The sequence below is a fragment of the Homo sapiens genome, chromosome 1 (genome assembly GCF_000001405.40).
Source record: "Homo sapiens chromosome 1, GRCh38.p14 Primary Assembly".
Lineage (NCBI taxonomy): Eukaryota > Metazoa > Chordata > Mammalia > Primates > Hominidae > Homo > Homo sapiens.
The window spans coordinates 231,678,807-231,706,060 of NC_000001.11; the positions used below are offsets into that span (position 1 = coordinate 231,678,807).

The 27,254-nt window shown below is 44.9% G+C and overlaps 1 protein-coding gene and 1 long non-coding RNA gene across 31 annotated transcripts in view, besides 1 other annotated feature; both read left to right on the forward strand.

Annotated features, from left to right (window-relative positions):
- TSNAX-DISC1 (TSNAX-DISC1 readthrough (NMD candidate)) overlaps positions 1-27,254 on the forward strand; it is a 512,620-nt gene that overhangs the window by 150,154 nt on the left and 335,212 nt on the right. For 6 of the 8 annotated variants that reach the window (NR_028393.1, NR_028394.1, NR_028395.1 and 3 more), the window contains 2 exons: positions 15,020-15,999; positions 23,149-23,218. This is a non-coding gene — a long non-coding RNA (TSNAX-DISC1 readthrough (NMD candidate)). Of the gene's footprint in view, positions 1-15,019; positions 16,000-23,148; positions 23,756-27,254 lie in introns of those variants that run through there. The other 2 variants (NR_028399.1, NR_028400.1) reach the window with 2 other exon arrangements.
- The window catches only part of DISC1 (DISC1 scaffold protein), a 414,483-nt gene that overhangs the window by 52,017 nt on the left and 335,212 nt on the right, over positions 1-27,254 (forward strand). For 19 of the 23 annotated variants that reach the window (NM_001164537.2, NM_018662.3, NM_001012957.2 and 16 more), the window contains exons 2-3: positions 15,020-15,999; positions 23,149-23,218. The exons of 1 other annotated variant lie outside the window; for it this stretch is intronic. In NM_001164537.2, coding sequence (NP_001158009.1) covers positions 15,020-15,999; positions 23,149-23,218 — 1,050 coding nt within the window. Of the gene's footprint in view, positions 1-15,019; positions 16,000-23,148; positions 23,856-27,254 lie in introns of those variants that run through there. 3 more of the 23 variants (NM_001164555.2, NM_001012958.2, NM_001164554.2) reach the window with 2 other exon arrangements.
- Positions 15,668-15,850: a silencer, noted in NCBI's record as "fragment chr1:231830220-231830402 (GRCh37/hg19 assembly coordinates)". NCBI's record gives its function as "represses an EF-1alpha promoter that drives an FKBP-Casp9 reporter gene in an ReSE screen in K562 erythroleukemia cells {active_cell/tissue: K562}" and the evidence as "EXISTENCE:reporter gene assay evidence [ECO:0000049][PMID:32094911]".

Below are 27,254 nucleotides of genomic sequence, written 5' to 3' on the forward strand. Positions count from 1 at the left end.
AGGCGCCCGCCACCACGCCTGGCTAATTGTTTTTTATTTTTTTGTATTTTTAGTAGAGACAGGGTTTCACCGTGTTAGCCAGGATGGTCTCGATCTCCTGACCTCGTGATCCACCCGCCTCAGCCTCCCAAAGTGCTGGGATTACAGGCATGAGCCACCGCGCCCGGCCACGTTGCTCTGTCTCTTAATAGTCTTGTCATTCCTGGGATGCTGCCATTTGTTTTCTTTTCTAATGGATAGTGGATCATGAAGATGGGTTCACATGGGCGACTTGAATTCTAGAGAGCCAGGCAATGTCACAGCTTCCTGGCCAGTTTGTGCCTGTTGGGGGATTCCCCATCTTTGATGCCTTTGACTTCCAGTCCTTGAGGGACACTCACTTCCCTGGCAAGCACTGTCTTGGACTGCATGAGTGATTTTCTATTGGTTGGTTTCTGACCGGGCGGGCACTTAGCTCCATGCTGGTCTGTGCCTGGCTGAGATATCTAAGAGCAGCTCATTGCCATATTCTGAATCCCAGCCCTCAGGGGAGCAGCCAGCACCTCTGCTTCCTGCCTCCTCTGGCAGATGGCCCTGATCTGAGAGTTTAAGTGATAGCTATCTGAGAGGAGTGATTGGTAGAGACAGTAGCACCTTATTTTAATAATTTAAAAATCATAAAATATGCCACTTTGGATACAAAAGCTTTTAAGAGGCACTTAATAAAAATGTTTAGTTGCTTTCCACAATGAGAAAACATTGTTATAACTAAAGCACACTTCAGATATTTAAGCATTAAAGCATCCCCAGAGACTTATTCTTAACAGTAAAATGTATTGCTTTGTTCAAGATGATTCTGTAATGGAGAGGCATTACAGAGGCAAGAAGAGACGAGAATTCTTTGTAATTAGTGTGCACTGTTTGAATGTAAATGAGTACTTGAAAACAGTTTGCTCTCTTAAACATCCTAAGTTTTCCCACTGTCGTCTTCCATAAGGTATTAATTGGTTTAAACAGCCTCTTTATTTGTAGGCAGCACAAAGGTTAACTTCAGTCCAGCCCCTGTCTAGTTATCATCAACTCCAAATGCTAATGCTGTTTGAATTCATCAGACAGAATTGAGCTTTTTGTATGTAGTCATGGCCTCTTAAAACTTACAAGGCCAGGCGCAGTGGTTCATGCCTGTAATCCCAGCACTTTGGGAGGCCGAGGTGGATAGATTACCTAAGGTCAGGAGTTTGAGACCAGCCTGGCCAACATGGGGAAACCCCGTCTCTACTAAAAATACAGAAGTTAGCCGGGCATGGTGGTGCATGCCTGTAATCCCAGCTACTTGGGAGGCTGAGTCAGGAGAATTGCTTGAACACAGGGGGCGGAGGCTGTAGTGAGCCGAGATCGTGCCACTGCACTCCAGCCTGGGTGACAGAGTGAGACTCTTGTCAAAAAAACAAACAAACAAAAAACCAAAACTTGGAAAGTATATATAGTGTCTCTATATGAAATGAGACTAGAGAAATTTTATAAAAGAAGGGTCCTCAAGTATAGATAAAAGACAACTGTATTTTATTATAAATGCTTTCTTATATCTCAGACCCAGGTAAGTTACAGGTCATGCTCAGCACCTGCCCCCGTGCATATAGCAGCAGGTTGTTGTAACATCAGCTTATTGAGAATGTGGATCACTATAACATAGGAGTCGTGTTATGCTGTTCTTTTAATTCCCTCATACCAGTGCACTACATTCCAATACTAACATGTGGAAAAAAAATACTGAATATCCCCTTGTTTTTTAGTAAGACCATAGAGCAGAACATTTGCAATTTTATAATGGTTTTATTTTTAAGGTCAGGCATTTAAAGTGGCACAAAGCTTTGATGTGGGCTTACATCTGAGTATTATAAACATTTAGCACAAAGTAAGAACTTACTTAAAAGATGCTCCAGCTTCCAGTGTGCTGTTTCTGTGTGAAATACTGAAAATTTGGGATCATTTTAAAAATAAACACTTATCTAAGTTGGCATGCAAAATGGAGCATTTAGAAAGCCATGAAAATAAGCCCATGCATAAAATATGGCATTAAAAAGGTAACTGTGAACTTTACAGATGGACTAGCATGAAAGAAGCTGTCTTTTGCTAGGGTGGATACGAGAGTTTGCAGCTCTTTGCTGCAAAAAAATAAGAGCAGAAACTTAAGTTGTTTAGTTGTTTTGAAATAACAGCTACACAGAGGGCTCCTTCTGGTTCATCCATATTTTATTAGGGCAGCAGTTAAAAAATTCATTAGAGACACCCATCTGTAGCTAGCAGCACCCTTGAGGGGGGCTCAGATGGTGATCAGATTTTGGAGTAGCACTTTACACTAAAAGAAAAAGACAATCGTTTAGGAGAATTAATAGCACAATGGAGAGGGGCTGCTTGATGCATTTGAAGCATACCCTTCCACATGGTTTATGAATCTTTTGCTACTGAATTCCTCAGCCACCTGCTTCAGTTGGGAAAGAGAGATCCAGGCATAACAAGGAGAGAAAAATTGGATCAGAGAGTTGAGACTGTATTGGTCAGTGGAGAACATAGATAGAGTGTCTATGTGATCCGTGTTGGGCTCTCACTCGTGTGTGTTTGTGTGTGTGTGTGTGTGTGTAAATCACGTTGGCCTCCTGGGGAACTTCATCAGTACAAAAAAAAGCTTGTGGTCAGAGCTGAGGCTGCCCTGGTTTACCTTGGCCTTGAACTCCACCTCCCTGGTGGTCAGGTCCAGGTGCCTTTGCCTCATCTTTATTCATGAATTGAAAATAACTCTAGTTATTGAATGGCAATGGAGGGGAAGTGACCTCTCCTCTACCCTCCTAGATTCCCTAGCTGGGTCTATGAAATTGACAACAGATAGATTAACAGGAGAATAGGCATAGACATTTATTTTTTTTTTTTAGAAGGAGTTTTACTCTTGTTGCCCAGGCTGGAGTGCAATGGCACGATCTTGGCTCACTGCAACCTCCGCCTCCTGGGTTCAAGCGATTCTCCTGCCTCAGCCTCCCAAGTAGCTAGGATTACAAGTGCCCTCTGCCATCATACCCTGCTAATTTTTTGTACTTTTAGTAAAGACAGGGTTTCACCATGTTGGCCAGGCTGGTCTCGAACTCCTGACCTCAGGTAATCCGCCTTTCTTGGCCTCTCAAAGTGCTGGGATTACAGGCATGAGCCACTGTGCCCAGCCCATTTATTAATTTTTAATATTATGTGCATGGGGGGCATCACAGGAAAAAATAGTAAATACCCCAAAGAGCGGTGAGATTTGAGAGCTTATATACTGTTTTCATAGGGGAAGGGGAGGAGGATATAGGTTGTGATTTTTAGAAATGTGCTGTTAGAACAGCAGATGGAAGATAGGAGAGTTTGTGACAAAGTTTGTCTGGGTGTGGTGTCGACTCCTAGTTTCATCTCCTGCAATACAAATCTGTCTTCCCTGGTTGATGAAACTTCCAGGAAGGGAATTCATGACAACTGAGTTCCCTTTGGCACATCTGTTTTGGGCAGATAAAGGGAGTTTAGAGAAAACCTTTCCCTGCACTTGCTGTTTTTCAAGTGCCTTCAGCTCAAAATAATCAATATTCCAAAGCAGCATAGTTTGGAGTGGCTTATTTTGGTTTCCTTCAGTGACTCTGTGCCAGGCATGGTATAGCACGGTTAAAGTCATAATCTCATCTATCCTTCCAGCAATCCTAGGGGTGGAGTCCCATTTCACAGATGAGATAATGGAAGCAACAGAGAGGTTAGTCACCTGACCATGCTCACTCATAAGAGGCAGAGCTGAATTTCATCTTCTGCTATTAAGTCCAGGTCCATAAACTGTGTGCATATACATGTTTTTTTTAGATAAACTTTCTATTTTAGAATAATTATAGATTTATCGCAAAGCTGCAAAGACAGCACAAAGTTCCTTTCACCCAGCTTCCTCTAACGGTAAGGGCTTATATAATCATGGTGCATGTATTAAGACTCAAAAATGAATATTGGTGCAATGAACTAAACTACAGATCTTATTCAGATTTCACCAGTATCCTTTTCCTGTTCCCCGATCCAATCCAGGATCCCACACTGTATGTCACATGCATGGTTTTTGACCCTTAAACACGAAGTGGGCTGGATGTCAAACTGCTGGGTGGCCTGTTTCTCCTCATTACTGATGAAGAAAGTGAGACGCTGGTGCCATCTGTCACCTTCCTTGTGGGGCCCAGGACTCTCATTGTCTAATGGAAAGGGGAAATCCTATGTAGGGTAGAAGATTTAGAACAGAGGCATGGGGACAAATTTTAAATATAGACCATACTTTTTCTACTTGTAGTAGTTTGTAGCTAAAACCACATTCAAGAAATAGAAAAAGATTGGGGGAGAGAGAGTATTCTGCAAAGCAACAACCTCTCTAGCATCATTAAAGTTTATGATGCATTTGAATCCCAAGTGTACTAGGATGTTAAATAGGACTTTTCCTTAAAACAAAGCCTTCCAGTCCTGACTGCCTCCTAGAATCACCTGGATAGTGTCAAGAAGCACCAATACCGGAGGCCCATCCCTCGATGTTGTAATTTCATCAGTCTTGGTTGTGATCTGAACCTCAGAATTTTTAAAAGATACCACCATGATTTTTTTTTTTTTTTTTTGAGACAGAGTCTTGCTCTGTTGCCCAGGCTGGAGTGCAATGGCGTGACTGTGGCTCACTGCCGCCTTGCCTTCCCGGGATCAAGCTATCCTCCTGGGCACATCTAGGATGCATGTAATTTGCCTGTATTCTGTGACCAACCCTTCTGTGAACACCCCCTCTGTGACCAACCCCTCCTGGAATCCCAGTGTGGTTTCCTTGGATGGTTTCTGGTCACTTTTTTCGCAAGCCCTCTTCTTCTTTCAGGATTTACCTTCTTAGGCGGTCTCATTTAACCCTCCTGGCTTTCCCACTTGCATGGCATGTGTTTCCACCTCTCTGTGGCCCAGGTCCTGCCTTGGCCCTGTCCTCTCGGTCCCCACCTGGAAGCCACCCTGGGCCTATTCCCATCCTGTCTTCTGCCTCTTCCTCCACAGCTGCCACACTGTCTGTACCCAAGTCCCAGTGGTTCTGAACTTCTTCAAGCTGGCTGCACTCAACACTGCCTTTCACACTGTGCTTGCTGTTCTCTCCACCGGCAATGACCTCACCCTCCTTTTTGGCTTGGGAAGCCTCAGCCTTCCAGTTTACTTTCCTGGCCTCCTGCAGTGGAGTTGCTCACAGCCTGGTCTGCATCTGCTTGTTGACATGTCTGTCTTCCCCAGGGAGCCATGAGCTCCATTGAGGACAGGGACCATGACTTTGAAAAATTAATAATTAATTTTTAGAGATGGGGTTTTGCTAACTTGCCCAGGCTGGAGTGCAGTGGCTATTCATAGGAGGAATCATAGCTCATTGCAGCCCTGAACTCCTGGGCTCAAGTGATCCTCCCAGCTCAGTCTTCTGAGTAGCTGGGACTACGGGGGCATATATGCACCCAACTTGAAAAAGTATTATCAAATATTTCACGGTTATAAAAACTGTATTTATATATAATTATGTGTTTAATATATAATTACACATAGGTTTTACATGTGCTGTTTGAAAATAATACAATCAGTTCCTGTGTAACCACCACTTAAGAAATGGAACATTACCCTTGAATTACTATATAATTGCATGCATTTTTTCCTATGTATTGTTTGAGAATAATACAGTAGGCACCTGTGTAAATACCAGCAGGCTTAAAAATGGAACATTACCCTCGAGGTCCCTTGCACATCACGTCCTGTTCCCTGTTAAGACTGGTTTATCATTCTTTTGCTTTTGTTTATACTTTTAGCACGTATCTATCTCTTGTGCTAAAAGACTGTTACAAGCAGAACAGTCATTCCAGTTTTAGTGATTCTGGGCTGAGACTGTAGACAATTAAATAAAAAGCCAATTCAGTGTAGGATTCATGCCTTCCGACTGTGAGGCTGTTGTAAGGAAGTAGCGTTTGTGGGAATGCCACCCAGGAGTCAAATCTCTAGCCTTTGGGTGATCAGGAGGCTGACAGGAAAACAGCGACAGAGCTTTGCCTCTGGTGGAACTCCTGGTGGCCTGCAGACCTGTTGGCGTCTGTACCTGCAGTCCACTCAGCTTTCCAGATGACTGAAATGCCCCAACAGGGTAGAGTGGCTCGCCTCTCCAAGAAAGAGCAGTTGGTGAATAATCATGCCTGGGAAAACAATCCGCCTGGCAAAGAGATGGATGGTATCCGTTGGTGAATGTGATGGCAGCAAGCCCAGTGCAAGATTCTGTGGCGATTCCTTGATTGACCTGCTCGGTTGGTGGATTTTGAAAGGGAGTGGGAAGGACTGCTTCACTTGCGTAGAACTCTCCCTCTCTCTTGCGCTATCTTCATATCGATGTCTACCTTTCTCTTTGTGTATATGTGTTTATAAATATTTCATATGTATATTTGTGTACAGACATATACACATTTGGATTTATATTTGTATACATTTTATATTAGTCAGTTTTCATCCTGCTGATGAAGATATACCCGAGACTTGGAAGAAAAAGAGGCTTAATTAGACTTACAGTTCCACATGGCTGGGGAGGCCTCAAAATCATGGCAGGAGGTGAAAGGCACTTCTTTATTTTATCTTATTGTATTTTTTTTTTGAGACAGAGTCTCGCTCTGTTGCCCAGGCTGGAATGCAATGGCGTGATCTTGGCTCACTGCAACCTCTGCCTCCTGGGTTCAAGCGATTCTTCTGCCTCAGCCTCCCGAGTAGCTGGGACTGTAGGCGCCTGCCACCATGCCCAGCTAATTTTTGTATTTTTAGTAGAGACAGAGTTTCACCATATTGGCCAGGCTGGTCTCGAACTCCTGACCTCGTGATCTGCCTGCCTCGGCCTCCCAAAGAGCTGGGATTACAGGCATAAGCCACCACACCCGGACTGGCAAAAGGCACTTCTAACCCAAAAGTCCACAGTCCAAAGTCTCATCTGAGACAAGGCAATTCCCATCTGCCCATGAGCCTGTAAAATCAAAAGCAAGTTAGTTACTTCCTAGATACAATGGGGGTACCAGTATTGGGTAAATACAGCTGTTCCAAATAGGAGAAATTGGCCAAAACAAAGGGGTTACAGGGCCCATGCAAGTCCAAAATCCAGTGGGGCAGTCAAATTTTAAAACTCCAAAATGACCTCCAGATCTCACATCCAGGTCACACTGATCCAAGAGGTGGGTTCCCATGGTCTGGGGCAGCTCCACCCCTGTCGCTTTGCAGGGTACAGCCTCCCTCCCAGCTGCTTTCACAGGTTGGCACTGAGTGTCTGCAGCTTTTCCAGGTGGATAGTGCAAGCTGTAGGTGGATCTACCATCCTGGGGTCTGGAGGATGGTGGCCCTCTTCTCACAGCTCCACTAGGCGGTACCCCAGTAGGGACTCTGTGGGGGCTCCAACCCCATATTTCCCTTCCTCTGCCCTAGCAGAGATTCTCCATGAGTGCCCAGCACCTGCAACAAACTTCTGCCTGGGCATCCAGCCGTTTCCATACGTGTTCTGAAATCTAGGTGGTGGTTCCCAAACCCCAGTTCTTGACTTCTGTGCACTTGCAGGCTCAACACCAAGTGGAAGCTGCCAAGGCTTAGGGCTTGGACCCTCTGAAGCCACGGCCCGAGCTCTATGTTGGCCCCTTTCAGCCATGGCTGGAGCAGCTGGGACACAGGGTACTAAGTCCCCATGCACACAGCATGGGGACCCTGGGCCCGGCCCACAAAACCTTTTTTTCCTCCTGGGCCTCCAGGCCTGTGATGGGAGGGGCTGTTGTGAAGACCTTTGACATGCCGAGGAGATGTCTTCCCCATTGTCCTGGGGCTTAACATTTGGCTTGTTGTTACTTATGCAAATTCCTGCAGCTGGCTTGAATTTCTCCTCAGAAAATGGGTTTTTCTTTTCTGTCACATTGTTATGCTGCAAATTTTCTGAACTTTTATGTTCTGCTTCCCTTATATATCTGAATGCCTTTAACAGCACCCATGTCACCTCTTGAAGGCTTTGCTGCTTGGAAATTTCTTCCGCCAGATACCCTAAATCATCCCTCTCAAGTTCAAAGTTCCACAAATCTCTAGGGCAGGGGCAAAATGCTGCCCATCTCTTTGCTAAAACATAACAAGAGTCACCTTTGCTCCAGTTCCCAACAAGTTCCTCATCTCCATCTGAGACCACCTCAGCCTGGACCTTATTGTTCCTATCACTATCAGGCTTTTGGTCAAAGCCATTCAACAAGTCTCTAGGGAGTTCCAAACTTTCTCACATTTTCCTGTCTTCTTCTGAGCCCTCCAGACTGTTCCAGCCTCTGCCTATTACCCAGTTCCAAAGTTGCTTCCACATTTTTGGGTATCTTTTCAGGAATGCCCCACTCTACTGGTACCAATTTACTGTATTAGTCCATTTTTATGCTGCTGATAATGACATACCTGAGACTGGGAAGAAAAAGAGGTTTAATTGGACTTACAGTTCCACATGGCTGGGGAGGCCTCAGAATCATGGCGGGAGGTGAAAGACACTTCTTACATGGTGGCAGCAAGAGAAAATGAGGAAGAAGCAAAAGCAGAAGCCCTTGATAAACCCATCAGATCTCATGAGACTTACTCACTACCATGAGAACAGTATGGGGGAAATTGCCCCCATCATTCCATTGATGTCCCACTAGGTCCCCTCCCACACAACATGGGAATTATAGGAGTACAATTCAAGATGAGATTTGGGTGGGGACACAGCCAAACCGTATAAGATTTGTATTATTTTTATATCACGCATGTGTGCTCCCCCAACAGTGTTCCTTCATGCACATGGATGGTGGTGTTGAAAATGCACTTTCTGTTGGACTTCCAATTTTAGGCCAAGCTTAGGCCCAGGTTGTTGAATTAATAATGAATAAATCTAGATAAAAATAGAATGGTGGTTACCAGGGACTGGGGCAGGGGGAAATGGGGAGTTAATATTCAATGGGTACCATGTTTCAGTTTGGGAAGGTGAAACAGTTCTTCAGGTGCATGATGGTGATGATTGTACAACAATGTGAATGTACTTAATGCCACTGAATGATACATTGAAACACGGTAAAAATGGTAATTTTATGTTACGTATATGTTACCACAATTAAAGAAAAGTAAAAAAAAAAATCATAGGGAAAATTCAATGGAAGCCTCAGGAAATGGTAGGGGAGGTCAATTCCAAAACCACATACATTCTAAAATGTCAGAAATGGTCAGTTAGCAAAGTAAGGATTAATTAGATTTTACACTTGTATGTCTTTGTTGACATTTCTGGGAATAAAGAGAGAAGAGTGTGATAATTCCTCTTCTATGTCAGTTCTAGAACCTTCTCTTTGTTCCTTACCCTGGTGCTTGTATGAGTATGTACAAATGTGTGTGTGTGTGTGTTGTGTTTGCAAACATGGACAATGGCGTGTGGGTTTGCTACTCTATTTCTAGTATTTCTGTGCCACCTTATTAATAGGAGAGCTGTGGGATCAGGCCTCTGGATGTAACCCTGTCCTTCCTTAGTGCTTCTGAGTTCAAACTGACTAACTCACAAAATGCGTCTGCATCGGGACTGACTTGTGGCATTCATTTTCTCAAAGGGCAAAAAACCTTTTGTTTCTGGTAGAAATTAAAGATGTGTTTGTGACGGCCCTCACTTCTTTTTCACCAAATGCAGCACCCTTCTTCCCTTTAATCCGATGAGGTGGTTTTATGGGGTGGCACATAACTTGGAGCTCATGGGAGGCCTTAGAACCATTAACCAACTGAGCTAACCAGGTTCCTCCATTAGTTTAATTTCAAATTGAATTCTCCTTCCTCCATGATTGAAAGAGTACATTCAATTCCTGTAACAGTTTTTATATGCCTGACTGACATCCCTTCCTAAAGCATAAGCAGTTTGAGGGCAGGGATGGTGTCTTGTTTATGTCTGTACCCCATGTATCATCTAGTGTTCAATAAGGAATTGTTTTATGGAAATGGATTACATGATTAAATTGGAAATAGAATACAGGTTGATTTATTCCACCCCCAGCTTGCCTTGCTCACTGGATGCTTATTACAGTGACCTGAAGGCACTTCAGAAGACTTAAGTGCTCTCTGAATTATTGAAGGAAGATGGACTTTGGCTCAGTAGAGTGTTTGTGCTTAGTGCCTATTACTGGATTCTGATTCTTTGGAAACAAATTAATCCAGAGGGATATATTGTTTCTTTATGGTTCTGAATATTTGGTTAGCCTGAATGTATTAAGATCTTACACCCCAACCATGACAGATGGGATTAAAATTCCTTCCCTGAAAAGAATATATTCCTTTATGCTTCCACTATAAATTTATATGCAAGTCATGTTTTGTAAAGTCGTGTTCTTCTCTTGCTATTTGGTGCATTCCCTGCAGCATTCTCGAGGTCCCAGCATTTTCCCTTCAGGAGACCTTAGAATTATTGGGGTACGGGGCAGCCAAGTGACCTGCCCAAGCCCACGTGTCTTTTTTTTTTGTTGTTTTTTTGAGACAAGAGTCTTGCTCTGTCACCCAGACTGGAGTGCAGTGGTGTGGTCTCGGCTCACTGCAACCTCCGTCTCCCAGGTTCCAGTGATTCTCCTGCCTCAGCCTCCCGAGTAGCTGGGATTACAGGTGTGCACCACCACGCCAGGCTAATTTTTGTATTTTTAGTAGAGATGGGGCCTCGCCATGTTGCCCAGGCTGGTCTTGAACTCCTGACCTCAAGTGATCCACCCACCTCCGCCTCCCAAAGTGCTGGGATTACAGGCATGAGCCACTGCTCCAGGAAAAAAACTGAGTATCATGTTTTCTTAAACTGCATGTTTAAGATTTCATATTTAAAAATGAATATTGTCTGGCCAATGTGTATTTTAATTTCTTCTCTGATATACTGTAAACTAGGATTGTTTTAGGAATTATAAGGACCTCAGGAAACTTCTGTGTAGTATAAACTGGAAACAATTCATATCCACCACAGAAAATAATTAACAGTGCTGGGTGTTAACAATACTTAGGGGGGAATGAGTGATGGAGGGAATGAGTGATATGGACAATTGGTGAAGCCCTGTTGACTGGGTGATCAGGAGAAGGGAGCTGATGGGGGAGGGATTGGAAGCTGAAGGCTGAGAAGGATTTGGATAGATGAAGGGAGAACATAAGAGGGAGGGCTGACAGGATTCTTGCTGATCCGGCTGGTTAATATTGGCTTGCCGCAATTTTCCTTCTAAGCTAGGTAAACATATATTTCCAGGCATCCTATTTGGACTGTGTATAGAGACCCATTGACATCTGGGTCTGTTCTAAGCTGCTTTCACTTCCCTCCAATCAGAGCTTGTTGGGCTCAATAAGGTGGAGATGGGGGTCATATATTACCAGGGCAAGCAGGTCTGTGCTTCAGAGAGGAAGTAAGGCATCAGCGCTTCCCTCTAGAATTGATCTGTTGCGGAACAAGAGTCCTCGAGCAGCAGAGAAAGCTGCGCCAGGCTCCCTTTCCCTGCTCAGTCGTTCGTTCCTGGACTAGATGGGTGGAACGAGGCATCTCTGGGTTTCACAGAGCACAGAGGGCACGGCTTGTTTCCTAACCGGGTCTCAAAACCTGCCTGCACTTTGGGCTTTTTCTTCACCTTGCCATATGTTGCTTCCTGCCCTTTTGAACCTCCTTCCGGAGCTGATTGCACTTATGTGCTAGGAAAGGAGTATTTGTCTTCAAGGTCTGAATGCATCCTAATCCTTATTGAACTGCAAGGTGTGATGGCACGACTTGGATATGTAAGTGAGAATTGATTCTGGTCACAGGGGATGTCATAAGTTTCCTCAAAAAATAAAAAAGAGGAAAAAAATAGTGAGAAAAAATGGCCTTTCGTTATGGGAAACTGGGAGTTTTTCCTACAGATTTCATTCTTGCCTTATATGGGTTTCCTGGAATTCTTCTAGCAGATTCCAGCAGTGCCCTCCGGATCTGCCCTCTGCCCTCTGAGGGTTAGGATTCATAGTGTGTGACAGTCTTTGCTATTCAGGCCACCTTCTGGGAAGGCCAGTGGCCAGGGGATGGTTTTCATGAGCCCTCAGCAGGGTGCAGAAGCCAGGTGGTTCCCATATCTCATTCCCACTTTTGGTAAACACCTCTCTTATGTTTGCCCTCCTGGGCTTGTTGCTTCTGGTCCCCGGCTCATCACAGCTTCCCAGGGCCCCGGTAGAAACAAGGGTTCACAGTGGGTAACCTCACTGTGCTGCAACTGGAACCTGGCTTGCAGGATTTCAGGACCTTTGGTTGAGTGGTTTTAGAAAAGGCTACTCAGGGGCTGGGCGCGGTGGCTGTGGCTCACAACTGTAATGCCAGCACTTTGAGAGGCCTAGGCGGGGGGATCACCTGAGATCAGGAGTTCGAGACCAGCCTGGCCAATATGGTGAAACCCCCTCTCTACTAAAAATACAAAAATTAGCTGGGCGTGGTGGCAGGCACCCGCAATCCCAGCTACTTGGGAGGCTGAGGCAGGAGAATCACTTGAACCTGGGAGGTGGAGGTTGCAGTGGGGTGAGATTGTGCCACTGCACTCCAGCCTGGGCAACAGGAGCGAGACTGTCTCAAAAAAAAAACAGAAAGAATAAAGAAAAAAAGAAAAGGCTATTCAGGCTGAAGTGCCCTCAGGCCTTGGAAAAGAAATGAAATTTCAAACAAATTATTTTCTACCTAGCCTTTTTCTTTTAACTTCAGAAGGGTTATCTGGATGACTGGTATTTACATACAAAAAATAGTTAAAAGTCTTTTTAAACCACAGACAGTATAGGTTTCACTGGACTCATTTTTCAAGATACGAAATTGTTGAATTGTTTTCCTTTGGTAATTGAAGCCAGAATTCAGTGTTTTCTCTAACTTCTTTTCGGATTCTTTGCTCTCTGGAGAACGTTTTGCCTGCTTTGCAAGGGGGTATGAGTAGTGCGTGTGCCTGAGGGCCTCTCTCTGCCCCCTCCTAACGCCTGGCCACCCTGTTCCGACTGCTGCCCCTGCCGGTCGGGCCCGGACACTGCAGGGAGCCTCACATCCTCGGATGACGGATTCCTTCTGTACATCTCATCACATCCTTTTCTACTGGCTTCAACTTGCATGGCCTCTGTCTTGAAGAAAGAAAGAAAAAAATGAAATGTTTCTTCTGCCTTCCTGTCATTTTACGCATTTTACGCTGATATACTTGTAGGCAAAGGGAATTGAAAGGGCATGCACTTTGGAACGAGACAAGCCTCAGTTCAAATCCGGGCTTTGGGAAACCATGATCCGGGAGTTCTGGGGCAAAGTAAGGCTTTCTGAGCTTTAGCTGTATTATTGGTAAAATGGGAATAGTACCGATCTCCTAGGGTTATAGTGTTAAATGCCTCCCTTCCTTTCTTTACTCTGACTTCTTCCACCACCACCTCATGGTCCCTGCTTCCATTCCTCCCTTCCTTGCAAGCTTCCGGAATTCTTTGTACCCCGGGCAGCAATAGCCCTTTTGGAGCTCCCCGCAATTGGCAAGAGCAAGTCACTGTGTGAGCAAGTCTTGGGCTCTGTTATCTTCAGATGCTCAAGTCAGGAAATAGGGGGCTAGAGGTCATTGTGCTCATTTCCCCAGAGATTATCAATGCCACCCCCACCCCTTTTAGGAGATGGCATGTGCCATGATCGTAGCTCAGTGGGATCCTTAATGCCTAGTGATCTCGGCTTAACAGGACAAAGATTCCAAGCCCATGTCTGTTCTGGGAAGCAAAGCAGGATGTGTGGGCCTGGAGTGAAGTTTGTTCCATTTCTCGCCATAGGCCATGGTATGATTACAGCTGTGCCTAGTGCTGCCTAGTTTTACTTTCATGCCTGATTTGCAATGTGGCAGGGTCCTGAGATGAGAGCTCTGTGTGGGCCAGTAGAGTCAAGAGACTTTGTCCTGGTCACTTGGCTACTTGCAGGGGGTTCTGGAAAGTCAAGTTCTCTGAATCTCAGTTGCCTTTAATATAAAAGGAAAGCTATAGTTTCGGGTCGGATTGATTCACATGGTTTTGGTCGGGAGTGAATGAAATTAATGTAAATTAAAACACATTATGAGTAGCAAAGTGCTATGCAATCTAAAAATAATAACATTTTAATCACTCTTATCATCATATGTGCCAGGCACTGTTCTAAGCTGTCTACAAATAGTAACTCATTTAGTTGAATGCTCACAACCACCTTATGAGAGAGCTACTGTTAATATCACCACTTTACTGATGGGGAAACTGAGGCACAGAGAGGTTAAGTAACTTGTGGAAGGTCACACAACCAGCAAGTGGTACAATCAGGGTTTGAACCAGTCAATGAGGAGTCAGCATTTGTTATTGTTCCTATTCCTATAGCATAGCTGGGAAGGGAATGCAATGCTGGTTTGGAGAACACATCAAGCAGGCCTCCTGTCATCCACTGAGTGAGATGAGATGATGGCCATACATTGCGGCACAGCCAGCTATCCATGGTCTGCAGCAACAGATCAGTCTTGCAGGGACATGGATAGCTCCGCTAGTGAACATTCACATGTTCAACGAATAGCTAGAGTAAATAGTTGGATCTCATTTAGAGGCATGCTCTGGCATTCCTCTTTCACGTCATTTGCTTTCCAGGCCCACTCCAGGATGAGAGTACTGAGGTGCCATAAAAGACCAACAGGCAAGATGTTGGAGGGTTCAGGAGCTGCCAAGGTTGTGTTCATGCTGACCTGTTGGCATAGCGTACAGCAGTGCCAGCTGCTCTGCTAAACCGAGGAGCTGAGATGCTGTGTTGATTTCTACATGTTCCAGGCAAATACTTCCTGAGGATTGTCAGGATTTACATAATGGATTGGCCCTGGGACCACTGAGCCAGCATCTATCTTTGACAGGTGTACTGAGAGATGACCTTTAAACCTAGGGATGTTCTCCAGATGCAGTTCCAGCTGGGCCAGTAAGATCTGCATGTTTATGGTGCTGTTTTTTCTTTTCTTCCCAGGCAGCCGGGATTGCTTACCACCTGCAGCGTGCTTTCGGAGGCGGCGGCTGGCACGGAGGCCGGGCTACATGAGAAGCTCGACAGGGCCTGGGATCGGGTTCCTTTCCCCAGCAGTGGGCACACTGTTCCGGTTCCCAGGAGGGGTGTCTGGCGAGGAGTCCCACCACTCGGAGTCCAGGGCCAGACAGTGTGGCCTTGACTCGAGAGGCCTCTTGGTCCGGAGCCCTGTTTCCAAGAGTGCAGCAGCCCCTACTGTGACCTCTGTGAGAGGAACCTCGGCGCACTTTGGGATTCAGCTCAGAGGTGGCACCAGATTGCCTGACAGGCTTAGCTGGCCGTGTGGCCCTGGGAGTGCTGGGTGGCAGCAAGAGTTTGCAGCCATGGATAGTTCTGAGACCCTGGACGCCAGCTGGGAGGCAGCCTGCAGCGATGGAGCAAGGCGTGTCCGGGCAGCAGGCTCTCTGCCATCAGCAGAGTTGAGTAGCAACAGCTGCAGCCCTGGCTGTGGCCCTGAGGTCCCCCCAACCCCTCCTGGCTCTCACAGTGCCTTTACCTCAAGCTTTAGCTTTATTCGGCTCTCGCTTGGCTCTGCCGGGGAACGTGGAGAAGCAGAAGGCTGCCCACCATCCAGAGAGGCTGAGTCCCATTGCCAGAGCCCCCAGGAGATGGGAGCCAAAGCTGCCAGCTTGGACGGGCCTCACGAGGACCCGCGATGTCTCTCTCGGCCCTTCAGTCTCTTGGCTACACGGGTCTCTGCAGACTTGGCCCAGGCCGCAAGGAACAGCTCCAGGCCAGAGCGTGACATGCATTCTTTACCAGACATGGACCCTGGCTCCTCCAGTTCTCTGGATCCCTCACTGGCTGGCTGTGGTGGTGATGGGAGCAGCGGCTCAGGGGATGCCCACTCTTGGGACACCCTGCTCAGGAAATGGGAGCCAGTGCTGCGGGACTGCCTGCTGAGAAACCGGAGGCAGATGGAGGTCAGTGTCTCTTCCACCTCTGTGGCCCGAGATTGTCGTGAGCTCAGATTAGCACTGGGCAGACGGCAGGAAACGAGGGGTTCTGGGCTCAACTGACTTCCTCCTGGAAGCTGCAGCAGCTCCTTTTGGAGCCGGCTGCACAGGATGTTGCTGCACTTCTGTCTCTTTGAATTGGACACAGATCTACTCTCCTTTTTGTCTTCTCTGTCACTTAGGTGCTCAGATTTGCTCTCCATTGGGCCGCAGGCTCCTCTGCAGGCCCCGGCTTAGGTGAGACGTGGTTCATGCAGCCCAGCTCTGCTTTGAGACAGGAAACTGGGGGCAGGGGAGATTGAGCTGGGTGATGTTTGGAAGGACTTGAGAGATACAAAAATGGGGATGCCCTCTATCAGGGCGATCCTGCTCTTCATCCGCTTCACTCATTCCCTTCCATCCTGCTGCAGTGGCTGCTGCCTTCCACAGGGTCGGGAGACTTCGCTTCTGGTCATTGAACCTCTTTGGCTCTCAGTTTCCGTATTTAGAGATAACACCAACTCATAGGATTGTTCTAAGGCTCAAATGAGAATGTAGCTGCTTTGGAAATAAGTACAAACTGGAGACATCTAAGGCCCAGCCTTATGATGATGCTGTCCATCCAGTTATCTGAGAGGTGGGTATAGCCGGAAGTAGGTAGGGTTCCTCTACCCACAAAAGTTCCCAGAGAAGCCCAGGTAGAGATGCTCTGTGGCTCATCTGTTGCCAGACTGTATTTTAATCCTGGTGTGTGTGTGCATATGTGTTTGTGTGTGTATGTGTGTGCATGTAGGTGTGCCTGTGTGTGCGTGTGTGTGTGTGCATGTTTGTGCTGTGTGTTCATGTGTGTGTGTGCATGCATGTGCGAGTGTATTTGTGTGTGTGCACTCATGTGTTTCTGCGTGTGGTGTGTGGATATGTTCATGTGGGTAGGGAAGTGGAGCACCCACTCATCAGGCATTTGGGAGGAGTAATCTGCAGAAGTTCATGCTCATTCCCCGAAAGAGCATCTCCCATCTGTTCTTTATCTATAGTCTGATGTTTCTAGCCCTGTCCCTGTTTGCCCTGTTTCAGCCCTCAGGGACCTCAGCCCAGCCCTCTGATTTATTATGCAGAGAGGGAGTGAGGTCAGAGCACAGATGCAGGCTTGTATTCTGGGTGATGTGTGGAGTCTTCCAGTTAGTCATTGCCTAAACCAGTGCCCCTTGTCTTTCCCCGAAACCCGTTCTGAAGGGCCTCCAATATTGGTTGATTTGAATGCATAGAATCTATCCAGTTTCTTAGGCCAGAAACCACAACCATCTTCCACACCTCCCTCTCCCTTGTTCCACATCTGGCTGGCCTCCAAGCCCTCTCAGTCCTACTGCTAATCTGTCTCTCATCACCATGGCCGCTGCCCTGGCTCAGATCCTTGTTATCTTTCACCTGGGTTTTGCAAGAGGGTCTACCTTCCTGCGGTGTTTCTCTTCTCCAGTTAATTAAACTAAATGTGATCATATGTGCAAAGTGCTTCAGACAGGGCCTGGCATCTAGCAAGTACCCAGAAATTAACCATTGTCATCATTAGAGAAATAGCTCCAATTTAGAGAGTTTGAGTCAAAAGCAAATGAAGCTCTCCCTTCTGTCCATAGCTCAAATTAAATTCCTATCTTATCTCAAATGGTAGAATCTGGACACACTTTTTCTTTAGTGTAAGTATTGTTGTCTATGGCAGTCCCACAGCTGGGCAGGGAAAAACATGACACTCTCTTCAATTACACTCATGTACTGCATAATGACATTTTGGCCAATGACGGATCACATATATGATGTGACAGTGGTCCTGTGAGATTATCGTACTGTGTTTTTGTTGTACCCTTTCTATGTTCAGATATGTTTAGATACAACAATACCTTACCATTGTGTGACACTTGTCTGCAGTATTCAGTACAGTCACATGCTGCACAGGTTTGTAGCCAAGGAGCAATAGACTATTCCATCTAGCCTAGGTGTGTAATGGGCTACACCATCCAGATTTGTGTAAGCACACTCTACGATGTTCACACAATGATGAAGTCACCTAATAATGCATTTCTCAGAATGCATCCCTGTCATTAAGTAACGCTAGGCTGTACTTGAGTATCTGTTGTGTGACAGCGGAATTAACAGAGTAGTGGGAATGACAGAAATAACACAGTCCAGGGCATAGGACTTACAGGAAGGCAGAGTTTGCCTCAATAGGAGGAAGAACCTCTTGACAGTGGGAATTGTCTGTGATGAGGTGGGCTGGTCAGGGACTTGTTTTCCCATGGTGCTTACACAGAGGCCCCAGACTGCTCACTGGGGTTGCGGCTGAGGCCTTCGGGACAGGGCAGAAGGTCGGTGAAGGATCTCCAAAAAGATCCTTTGAAAGAGTAGGATTTCTAGTGTTTGGGGGCCTTATTGATATTATATTTTAATTCCTTAACCTCCTCTCGCTTCTACTTAAGTAAAAATGAGAATCTCAGGAATTTAAGTTTCAGCTTCTTCTAAAAGATGGTTGATCCTCAGTGTTTGTGGATTCTATATGTGTGAATTCGTCTACTTGCTAAAATTTGTTGTTAACTCCAAAATCAGTACTCACAGCACTTTTATGGTCATTTTTCATTTTTATTTTATTTTTTAAGAGACGGGGTCTCTGTCTTCCAGGCTGGGGTGCAGTGGTGTGATCATAACTCACTGCAACCTTGAACTCCTGGGCTCAAGCGATTCTCTTGCCTCAGCCTCCCTAGTGGCTGGGACTACAGGCGCATGCCACCATGCCTGGCTAATTTTTTTTTTTTTTTTTTTTTGGGTAGAGATGAGGGTCTTGCCACGTTGCCCAAACTGGTCTTGAACTCTTGGCCTCAAATGATCCTCCTGCCTCAGCCTCCAAGGTACTGGGATTACAGGCATGAGCCACCATGCCTGGTGGTAATTTTGAACCTGCACAGAGTGGCAAAATATTTGGGTCACCTGATGTACACGCTTTCTACTTAGGTCAAACAAGTTCAGACCAGATGACATTCTACCTTCTCTCTCATACTACAAACTAGTATCCTTTTTGTGGTCTATTTAATGCCATCTTTTTTTACATTTTTGTGCTCTTTATTGGTGAGTTAACCATTGCAAAAGCTCCCTAAGCATAGTGCTAATGTCATCTAGTGCTCCTAAGCATGAGAAGGCTGTGATGGGCCTGATGGAGAAGATACAGGTGCTCCAGAAACTTTATTCAGGCATGAGTTAGAGTGCTGTTGGCCAGAGTACAATGCTTATGGATCAATAATACATATTAAATAAGATGTTTTTAAACAGAAACACACATAGAACAAGGTCATGTGTTGACCGATGGAGGAAGGTGTTGTGACCAGGGGTTCACAGGAACCTACCCTGTATTTCTCTTAGGAGCAATGCTTCATTATTCCCTAATTCAGTATTCACAGAAACTTTATAGAACATAACTACAGTACTGTGAATAAGGAGAATCGACTGTGAATATTTTATGCTGTTTAGAAATCGCTGCTTAGCGAGATTTCCAGGGGTTGCATGGGACTGAGAAGATGGTAATAAAGGTAGTTGGTGACCAGGCATGCAGAGGAGGGGAAGTGGAGTGGGCCCTGCAAGGTAGGCTCCACCTAAGGCCATGGAAACTGGTGAAAAATGAAGGACTCTGCCTGTAGAGTATTATAGGACGTTCCACAGGCAGGGTTGTGGCACAGTGCAAGACATGGCCACTGGGGCTGTGCCTCCAGCAAAGACGGGTATTCAGACATATCTCAGGGCAGTCCATTCAGGGCCTTATAGAGATCACTGGACGAGGTGGGCATCGTGGGGTGGGCTTTGGCTGTAAATGAATTTTTTTCCTGACCTTGTTTCCTGCATTTCTTCAGCTTCTGTTCTAATAAATGTTTAATGATACCATCATTTGGGTGTGGCGATGGTAATGCTATAGCTTTATGTGGCCCTCAAACCATTCACACAGCCTTTCTTCTGTCCCTAATATATAGGACTAAGTTACTGGTAAACTTTGCAGTTGTAATATAGAACAATTCAAAGACAAAGGGGTTAATATGATTATTCATTCATTCTTTCATTCATTCAGAAAGCATTTATCAATGACAACGAGTACAATGCCTTATCCTAGGCTTTGGAGATTGTATTAGGACAGGCTAGTAACAGGCACTACGTTAGAGGCTCAACACAACAAAATTGTGTTTTTTGCGTATGCTTCATGTTCCACAGAGATTTTTGGGGGGCAAGAACCCAGCCTGCACCATCTGAACATATGATCCCCTTAGTCACAGACTTGAGGAAGAGAATGTTAGGGAGTCCTACAAGAGCGATCAAATGCTTCAGCGTAGAGGTAACCCCATCACTGCCACTCATACCCTGTTCAGCAGAACAAGGAGAGAGGCACTTGTACTCTTTCCATGTGCCCAAAGCAGTGGAAAATCAAGTCAGTGTAAGTACTAGCATCCTATACATGGATGCAAAATAGTTCTTGCCCCCCAGATGCTCAAGGTTGAATGATGTGCACAGATAAAACCAAACAAAGGAAAATGATGGCTATAACCTGGTGCAATAAGTACTCCATTCTTCCAGTGGGTCAGAAAAAAAAACCCAAAAAACAAAAAACAAAACAAACCTTGGCATCATCCTGGTGCATTTTCCTCAGACCCCACCTGTGATGTATTAGCAAATCCTGTTGGCTCTATATTTAACCAGCGGTCTTCTGAATATAACCGGAATCAGATCACATCTCACCATCTTCACCATTGCCACCATCCTCACTATCATCCAAGCTCCTGTCATCTCCTTCCTGAATGTTCCCATAGCCTCTTACCTGGCCTCCCTTCTTCTGCTCTTACTAACAGCAGCCAGAGTGAAACTGTTTAAAACATAAGTCAGATCATGTGCTCCTCTGCCCCAAACTCTCCAGTGGCGCCCCATGAACTTCAGAGTAAAATCAGAACTTTTAAATGGTCTTCATGTCTCTTCTTGACACAGTCCTCATTACCTGTGTGACCTCATTCTCTACAGTTTTCCCTTACATCAATCTGCCCCAGATCCAGTGGCATTCTTGCTCCCTCTTGCTTTTCATTTCACTTTCACTTCTTGCTTTCTTACCAGAAACACTTCTGCCTGAGCCTTTGTACTGGCTCTTCCCTCTGTGGGAATATTTTTCTCCCAGACAGCCTCGTGGTTCACTCCCTTACCACTTTTAAATCTTTGTGTAAATGTCACCATCTCAAGGAGATCAGATTTCAAATTGCAACCTCTACCCTCTACCAGCATCCCTGATCCCCATAACGTGGTTCTCCCTTTTCCTTTTTCATAGCATTAATCACTTGCTAAGGTGCCATAAAACTTACAGTTGACCCTTGAACAACACGGGTTTGAGCTGCAAGGGTCACTTATATGCAGATTCTCTTCCACCTCTGCCACCTCTGAGACAGCAAGAACAACCTCTCTTCCTCCTCCTCCTCAGCCTACTCAAGATGAAGATGATCCACTTTCACTTAATGAATAGGAAATTTATTTTCTGTTTTTTATGATGTTTTTCGTCATCTAGTCAATGCTGAATTTTTTTCTCAATGATTTTTAAATAACATTTTCTTTTTTCCACTTTACTTTTATTGTAAGAATGCATATATAATACATATAACAAACAAAATATGTGTTAATCAACTGTTTATGTTTTTGGTAAGGTCTCTGGTCAACAGTAGACTATTAGTAGTTAAGTTTTGGGGAAGTCAAAAGTTATACACAGATTTTCAACTGTATAGGGCCGGGGTTGGTTCCCATAATCCCCGTTGTTCAAGGGCCGACTGTATTATGTTTTTGCCTAGAATGTAAGTCTGGAGGGCTAAGCATTTTATGATGTATCCTTGTTACATCAACACAATACAAACAGGGCCTGATAACTAAGAGGCACTCAGTAAATATTTGTTGAATGGGTCTATGAATAGAAGAAGCAAGTACAGGTCACAATGGAGGTATAGAGGAGGGACATTTAACACAGACTGGAGGAGACGACACTTGTGCTAGGGGTTGAAGGAAATGTAGGTGTGAGCCAGGCAAAGAATGGGAGGAAGATGTTTTTCAGGGATCAAGCCCAAATCCATTCATTGGTAGGCCAAGAATTCATTGTCAGTAAATCTTTGGGTCTCCTGTTGAGAAGAACAATGATTGTATTAGTCAGTTCTCATGCTGCTAATAAAGACGTACCCAAGTCTGGGTAATTTATAAAGAAAAAGAGGTTTAACGGACTCACAGTTCTACATGGCTGGGGAAGCCTCACAATCATGGTGGAAGGCAAAGGAGGAGAAAGGCACATCTTACACAGTGGCAGGCAAGAGGGCGCTTGTGCAGGGGAACTCCCTTTTATAAAACCATCAGATCTCATGAGACATATTCATTATCATGAGAACAGCATGGGAAAGACCCACCCCCATGATTCAATTACCTCCCACGACATGCGGGAATTATGGGAGCTACAATTCAAGATGAGATTTGGGTGGGGACACAGCCAAACCATATCAATGATGCTAAATCAACCCATTGGTAACACTCAGAGAAGTAACTGGATCACTGAGTCTCCATGTGGGTTAAATAAGACTGCCCTTTTCTGTAATGGAAAATATTTGAACCTTAGGGCTTCTCAGAAGGGTTTTGTGAGAGCTTTGCCATCATTCTTACTCAAGCCTTCAGGACAGCCTGCTGAGCTTAAGTTCATGCTCTTTTTCTCTTGGTTTCTCTGCCAATTTTGGTGTGTTTACCTTCATAATTTAAATGTGAGGTTTAGAACAGAGACCATTTGGTCAGGAAATTTGTATTCCTTCTCATTATGCATTTCTTCATGCAGATGAGGGCACAGTGTGATGTTTTTGTTTAAAATAAAATAACATTTTAACTTTTTATGTGGATGTTATGCTCAAATTACACTTTTTCTTTACATAGATTTTTTTTGGAGAAACTAATGCATCTGGCATTGAAAAAATGTGCATTTTTGTTTTTTTTTTAAAAAGAGAATGAAGAAGTTCAGTTTTGAAACAGTTTCTAAATGTTCTTAGTTTTCACAAAAATGTTTGCTTGAATTCTATTGTAATTTTTTATTTTTTCCCCTTTAAACCAACATAGGTAATATCCTTAAGATTAAAACTTCAGAAACTTCAGGAAGATGCAGTTGAGAATGATGATTATGATAAAGGTGAGTTTTAATTTGTTTATTGATTGTTTTGTCATCATGTCCCAATTTTCTTTCCATCTTTACTCATATCTACCTTTTGAATCCCAAAAGAATTGTACAATCTGTTCCTCTGATCATCTCTACCAGGGAATAGTTGACTCTTTTACAGCATTATTGTTTTGTAGATTTCAAAGTACTTCATGAACATTAATCCTTTGGGTTATAAATATAACCTTATCAATTGTCCAGAAACACTTAGCATACTCACACAATAAAAATTATATTAGCTTGCCACCTGTCTGCCCATGGTGTGATGTATCTATAATCCACTTGTTCATAAAAAATATTCGTCTGACACCTATGATATGCTAGGGAATATGGGAGACAATAGGAAAGTAAGACAGACATGGTATCTGCCCTTGTGATGCCAGTAAACTTAAGCCTTCATGGGGCTCTCTGACTTCATAATTTCCAGAACCAGAGATAGGAAATGAGGTGAATTTGAGAAATGTCAGACTGTGCCAAAGGGGGTCACATGCATCAAATTTCCACATACATGGCCTAAAATACCCAAGAGAAAAAGAAGTTACAACATTAGACCAGAGATAGAGGGACTGATCTGAGGCCAGGAAAACAAACAAACAAAAAAACAAAAAAACCAATTAAAATGAGGCACCAAAATAGAAGTTGGGCTGCAAGCAGATGAGGGCTGACATGGGGGTTGAATGGGCACAGGGTAGACTGAGTCAAAGGAAAGCTTTCAGGTATGGTTGTCCTGGGAACAATCCTGAAAACTTTAGATGCTCATTGCAAGATCTCACACCCATTTCTGCTGGGTGTGGGAAAGAGAAAGGGCTGAAAATGACATGTAGATTCCCCTAGGCACCTACTAACTTGATAGATACTCCTGCTATTGAGCAAGTTAGGACACCCAGGATTGGTATGGAAATGGAATGTAGGTTTAAGGATTCTTCTGGAAGCTGGTTAGCTTTAAGGCATGGGTCTTCAGCATTTAGCCCATGTGACATTCTCATTGTATGTGTCATAGACTGTTGGAATTAGGGCACTATGGGAATAAGATAAGTGATTTCCAAAAGGAGGTAGAAAATCCTGTTCTAGGAAATGCTGTTGCATGTTCTCATTACCTATCCATTGCAGTTGGGTTTAGAAAGTCACGGGGCATGGGAGGAAGGGAGAAAGGACTGGAGACAGAGGAGGGACTCTTGACATTCTCCCAGTCCTCCTTCTACAGGCCACTTGATTTCATAATAACACTGGGTGGAGGATGAGTTGCCTGAGAGAGGAGGCAAGTCGGAGGCAGGGGAAGGCACCCCTCAAGCCCAGCGTCAGTGGCTTCAGCCCGGGCACAGCTGTAGGCAGGGAGAAAATGAGCTATTCCTGGGCCAGGGCTCACCTGCTGGATTTCATCTATGAGAGATAATTACAGCTAGTTTTGAAGCTGCCCACTATTGCACAGATTTATTTTTATTACCATGAATTGAGTCCTGGACTCTCTACCTTTAATGACACTGTAACACATAAAGCTTACAATGCAGTGAAAAAGTAGGCCAATCAGGCCCTAGTTTGTCCCCTGCTCCTGCTTAGGACCTGGTGAACTTTCTAGACTTGGTTCTCTCAATGGCTTCATTAAATGGAGACCTCACTTCTTTAATCTTTTCTCCAAACATTCCGCAACACCTAAGGGAATGGGGTTTGAGAGGATACACCTCATCAGGGAAGCTCAAAGAATACAGGCATCTTCTTTAGTGTTTCTGCCTTTTTCTGTTCCTGTTGGTACCTCACTACTTACTACATCAGAAGTTTCAGGGTGGGCTCAGCATTCTGTGTTTTCCCAAGCCTTCCTGGTGACTGGGGTGTGTCCTGAGGCTTGAGAAAACACTGGTGCAGAGTTTATGCTAGTGAGCACTAGGCCTGGGGGGCAGCAGCCAGCCAAGCCCTGGAAGAGGGGTTGAGTCTATGGGTTGTGTCCTTCCTGATCCACCAGAAATCTGTGCAGCAGACAAGCATCCTGGTAGGCACAGGACACACGATTTACATGCCACTCCCCTTGTCTTCTTCCCAATCCCACAGACCCGATTCAGTGTGTTGAGAGGTAAATGTTCTTGTGGAATATGCACAATGCCTGGCATATAGGAGGCAGGCCCTCAGTAAATGTGGTGTGAGGGAATTAATTAATAAATGACTTGCCCTCTGAATGCATGGAGGCTATGGATGGCAAGCTAGAGTGAATGAGGGGAAAGCACTCTTGCCACCTGAAGGTGGGCTTAGTTCTCAGCTCATCTGCAGTGCCCAGGATGGGGGGTGGGAGTGGGTGAAGGGAAAGATCTTTGCATAGAAATTGGCTTATGTGAAAAATATCTATTAAGTATCCATCGTATACAACAGCACTTCTCAGACTTTAATGTACTGTGAATAACCTGGGTTGGTAATGGATTAAAATGCAGATTCTGGGCTGGGCGCGGTGGCTCATGCCTATAATCCCAGCACTTTGGGAGTCCGAGGCGGGTGGATCACGAGGTCAGGAGATCGATACCATCCTGGCTAACGCAGTGAAACCCCATCTCTACTAAAAATACAAAAACAAAATTAGCCGGGCGTGGTGGCAGGCGCCTGTAGTCCCAGCTACTCGGGAGGCTGAGGCAGGAGAATGGCGTGAACCCAGGGGGCGGAGCTTGCAGTGAGCCGAGATGGCGCCACTGCACTCCAGCCTGGGCGACAGAGCGAGACTCCGTCTCAAAAAAAAAAAAAAAAAAAAAAAAAAGCAGATTCTGATTAAGTAGGACTGGGGTGGGGTGGGAGACTCCATTTCTAATGATCTCCCAAATGATGCGCATACTGCGAGCCTGTGAGCCACACTTAGAGTAATAATGGCATATAAGAAATCACAACAACGCCGTGTTTAAGGCATGCTGAATGCCGTCCTCAAGATCTGCATCTCAAGGAGTATGCAGTCCAGGAGGGGAAACTGGATAATACACAGTAAGAATAATAAAGCTATACATAATATGTCCCTTAAAATACAGACAGACCAAGGCGGGTGGATCATGAGGTCAGGAGTTTGAGACCAGCCTGGCCAACATAGTGAAACCCCGTCTCTACTAAAAATACAAAAAATTAGCCGGGCATGGTAACAGGCACCTGTAATCCCAGCTACTCGGGAGGCTGAGGCAGGAGAATCGCTTGAACCCGGGAGGCGGAGGTTGCAGTGAGCAGAGATTGCACCATTGCACTCCAGCCCGGGCAACAGTGGGAGCGAGACTCCATCTCAAAAAAAAAAAAAAAAAAAAAAAAATCATTAAAAAAAAAAAAATAAAGGCAGACAAAGACAGTCCCAAAAAGGGACAAATGACTTCTGCCAGAGATCTTGGGGTGGGTGAAGAATCAAAGTAGTGGAGGAGGAGGCAGTTTAGATGGGTCCTGAAGGATGGGTTTGATGCAACAGACGGGGGATTCCGGCAAAGAGAAGAGGGAGAAAGGGCACTGTTACCATGAGCCACCATCCCAAAGTTAGGCTTGAAAGGAGACTTGCGGCTGACTATGGTTTGAAATGGATCACAAAAGGGCTCAGTACTTGGACTTGTCAGTGATTGGTAAATTATTTTAAATTGATCACTAAGTCATTAGGAAAGTTTGGAAGACATAAAGGTAGTGAATTTGTTATGAGATTTGTTCAAATAAGATTTGAATACAATTTCTTCTCTCATATAGTTTATTGAGGGTAACTATTAAACATTTTAAGAATTGTTGAGTTTTTTTTCATAGTTTTTACTTGAATTTGCTCCTTTTTCTCTGTTAGGAGCAGCTGTGCAGCCCTGTTCTGTCTCAGGGGAAGGGGTCTGCCGGAATCTGAGAGGTTTGCCAGAAGAAATGAGAGGGTGACCTTATCTCCCTTGGTTTTTGCTGCTTTTTTCTTTTGCTCTTTCTTTCTTTCTAGTTTCACTCATAAAAATGACTTTGTGTTCCAAAGAAAGAAGCAGTTGGCACAGAGTAGAGAGTTCCATGTTTTATCTCATCAAAGTGCTGGCAAATTTCCCCA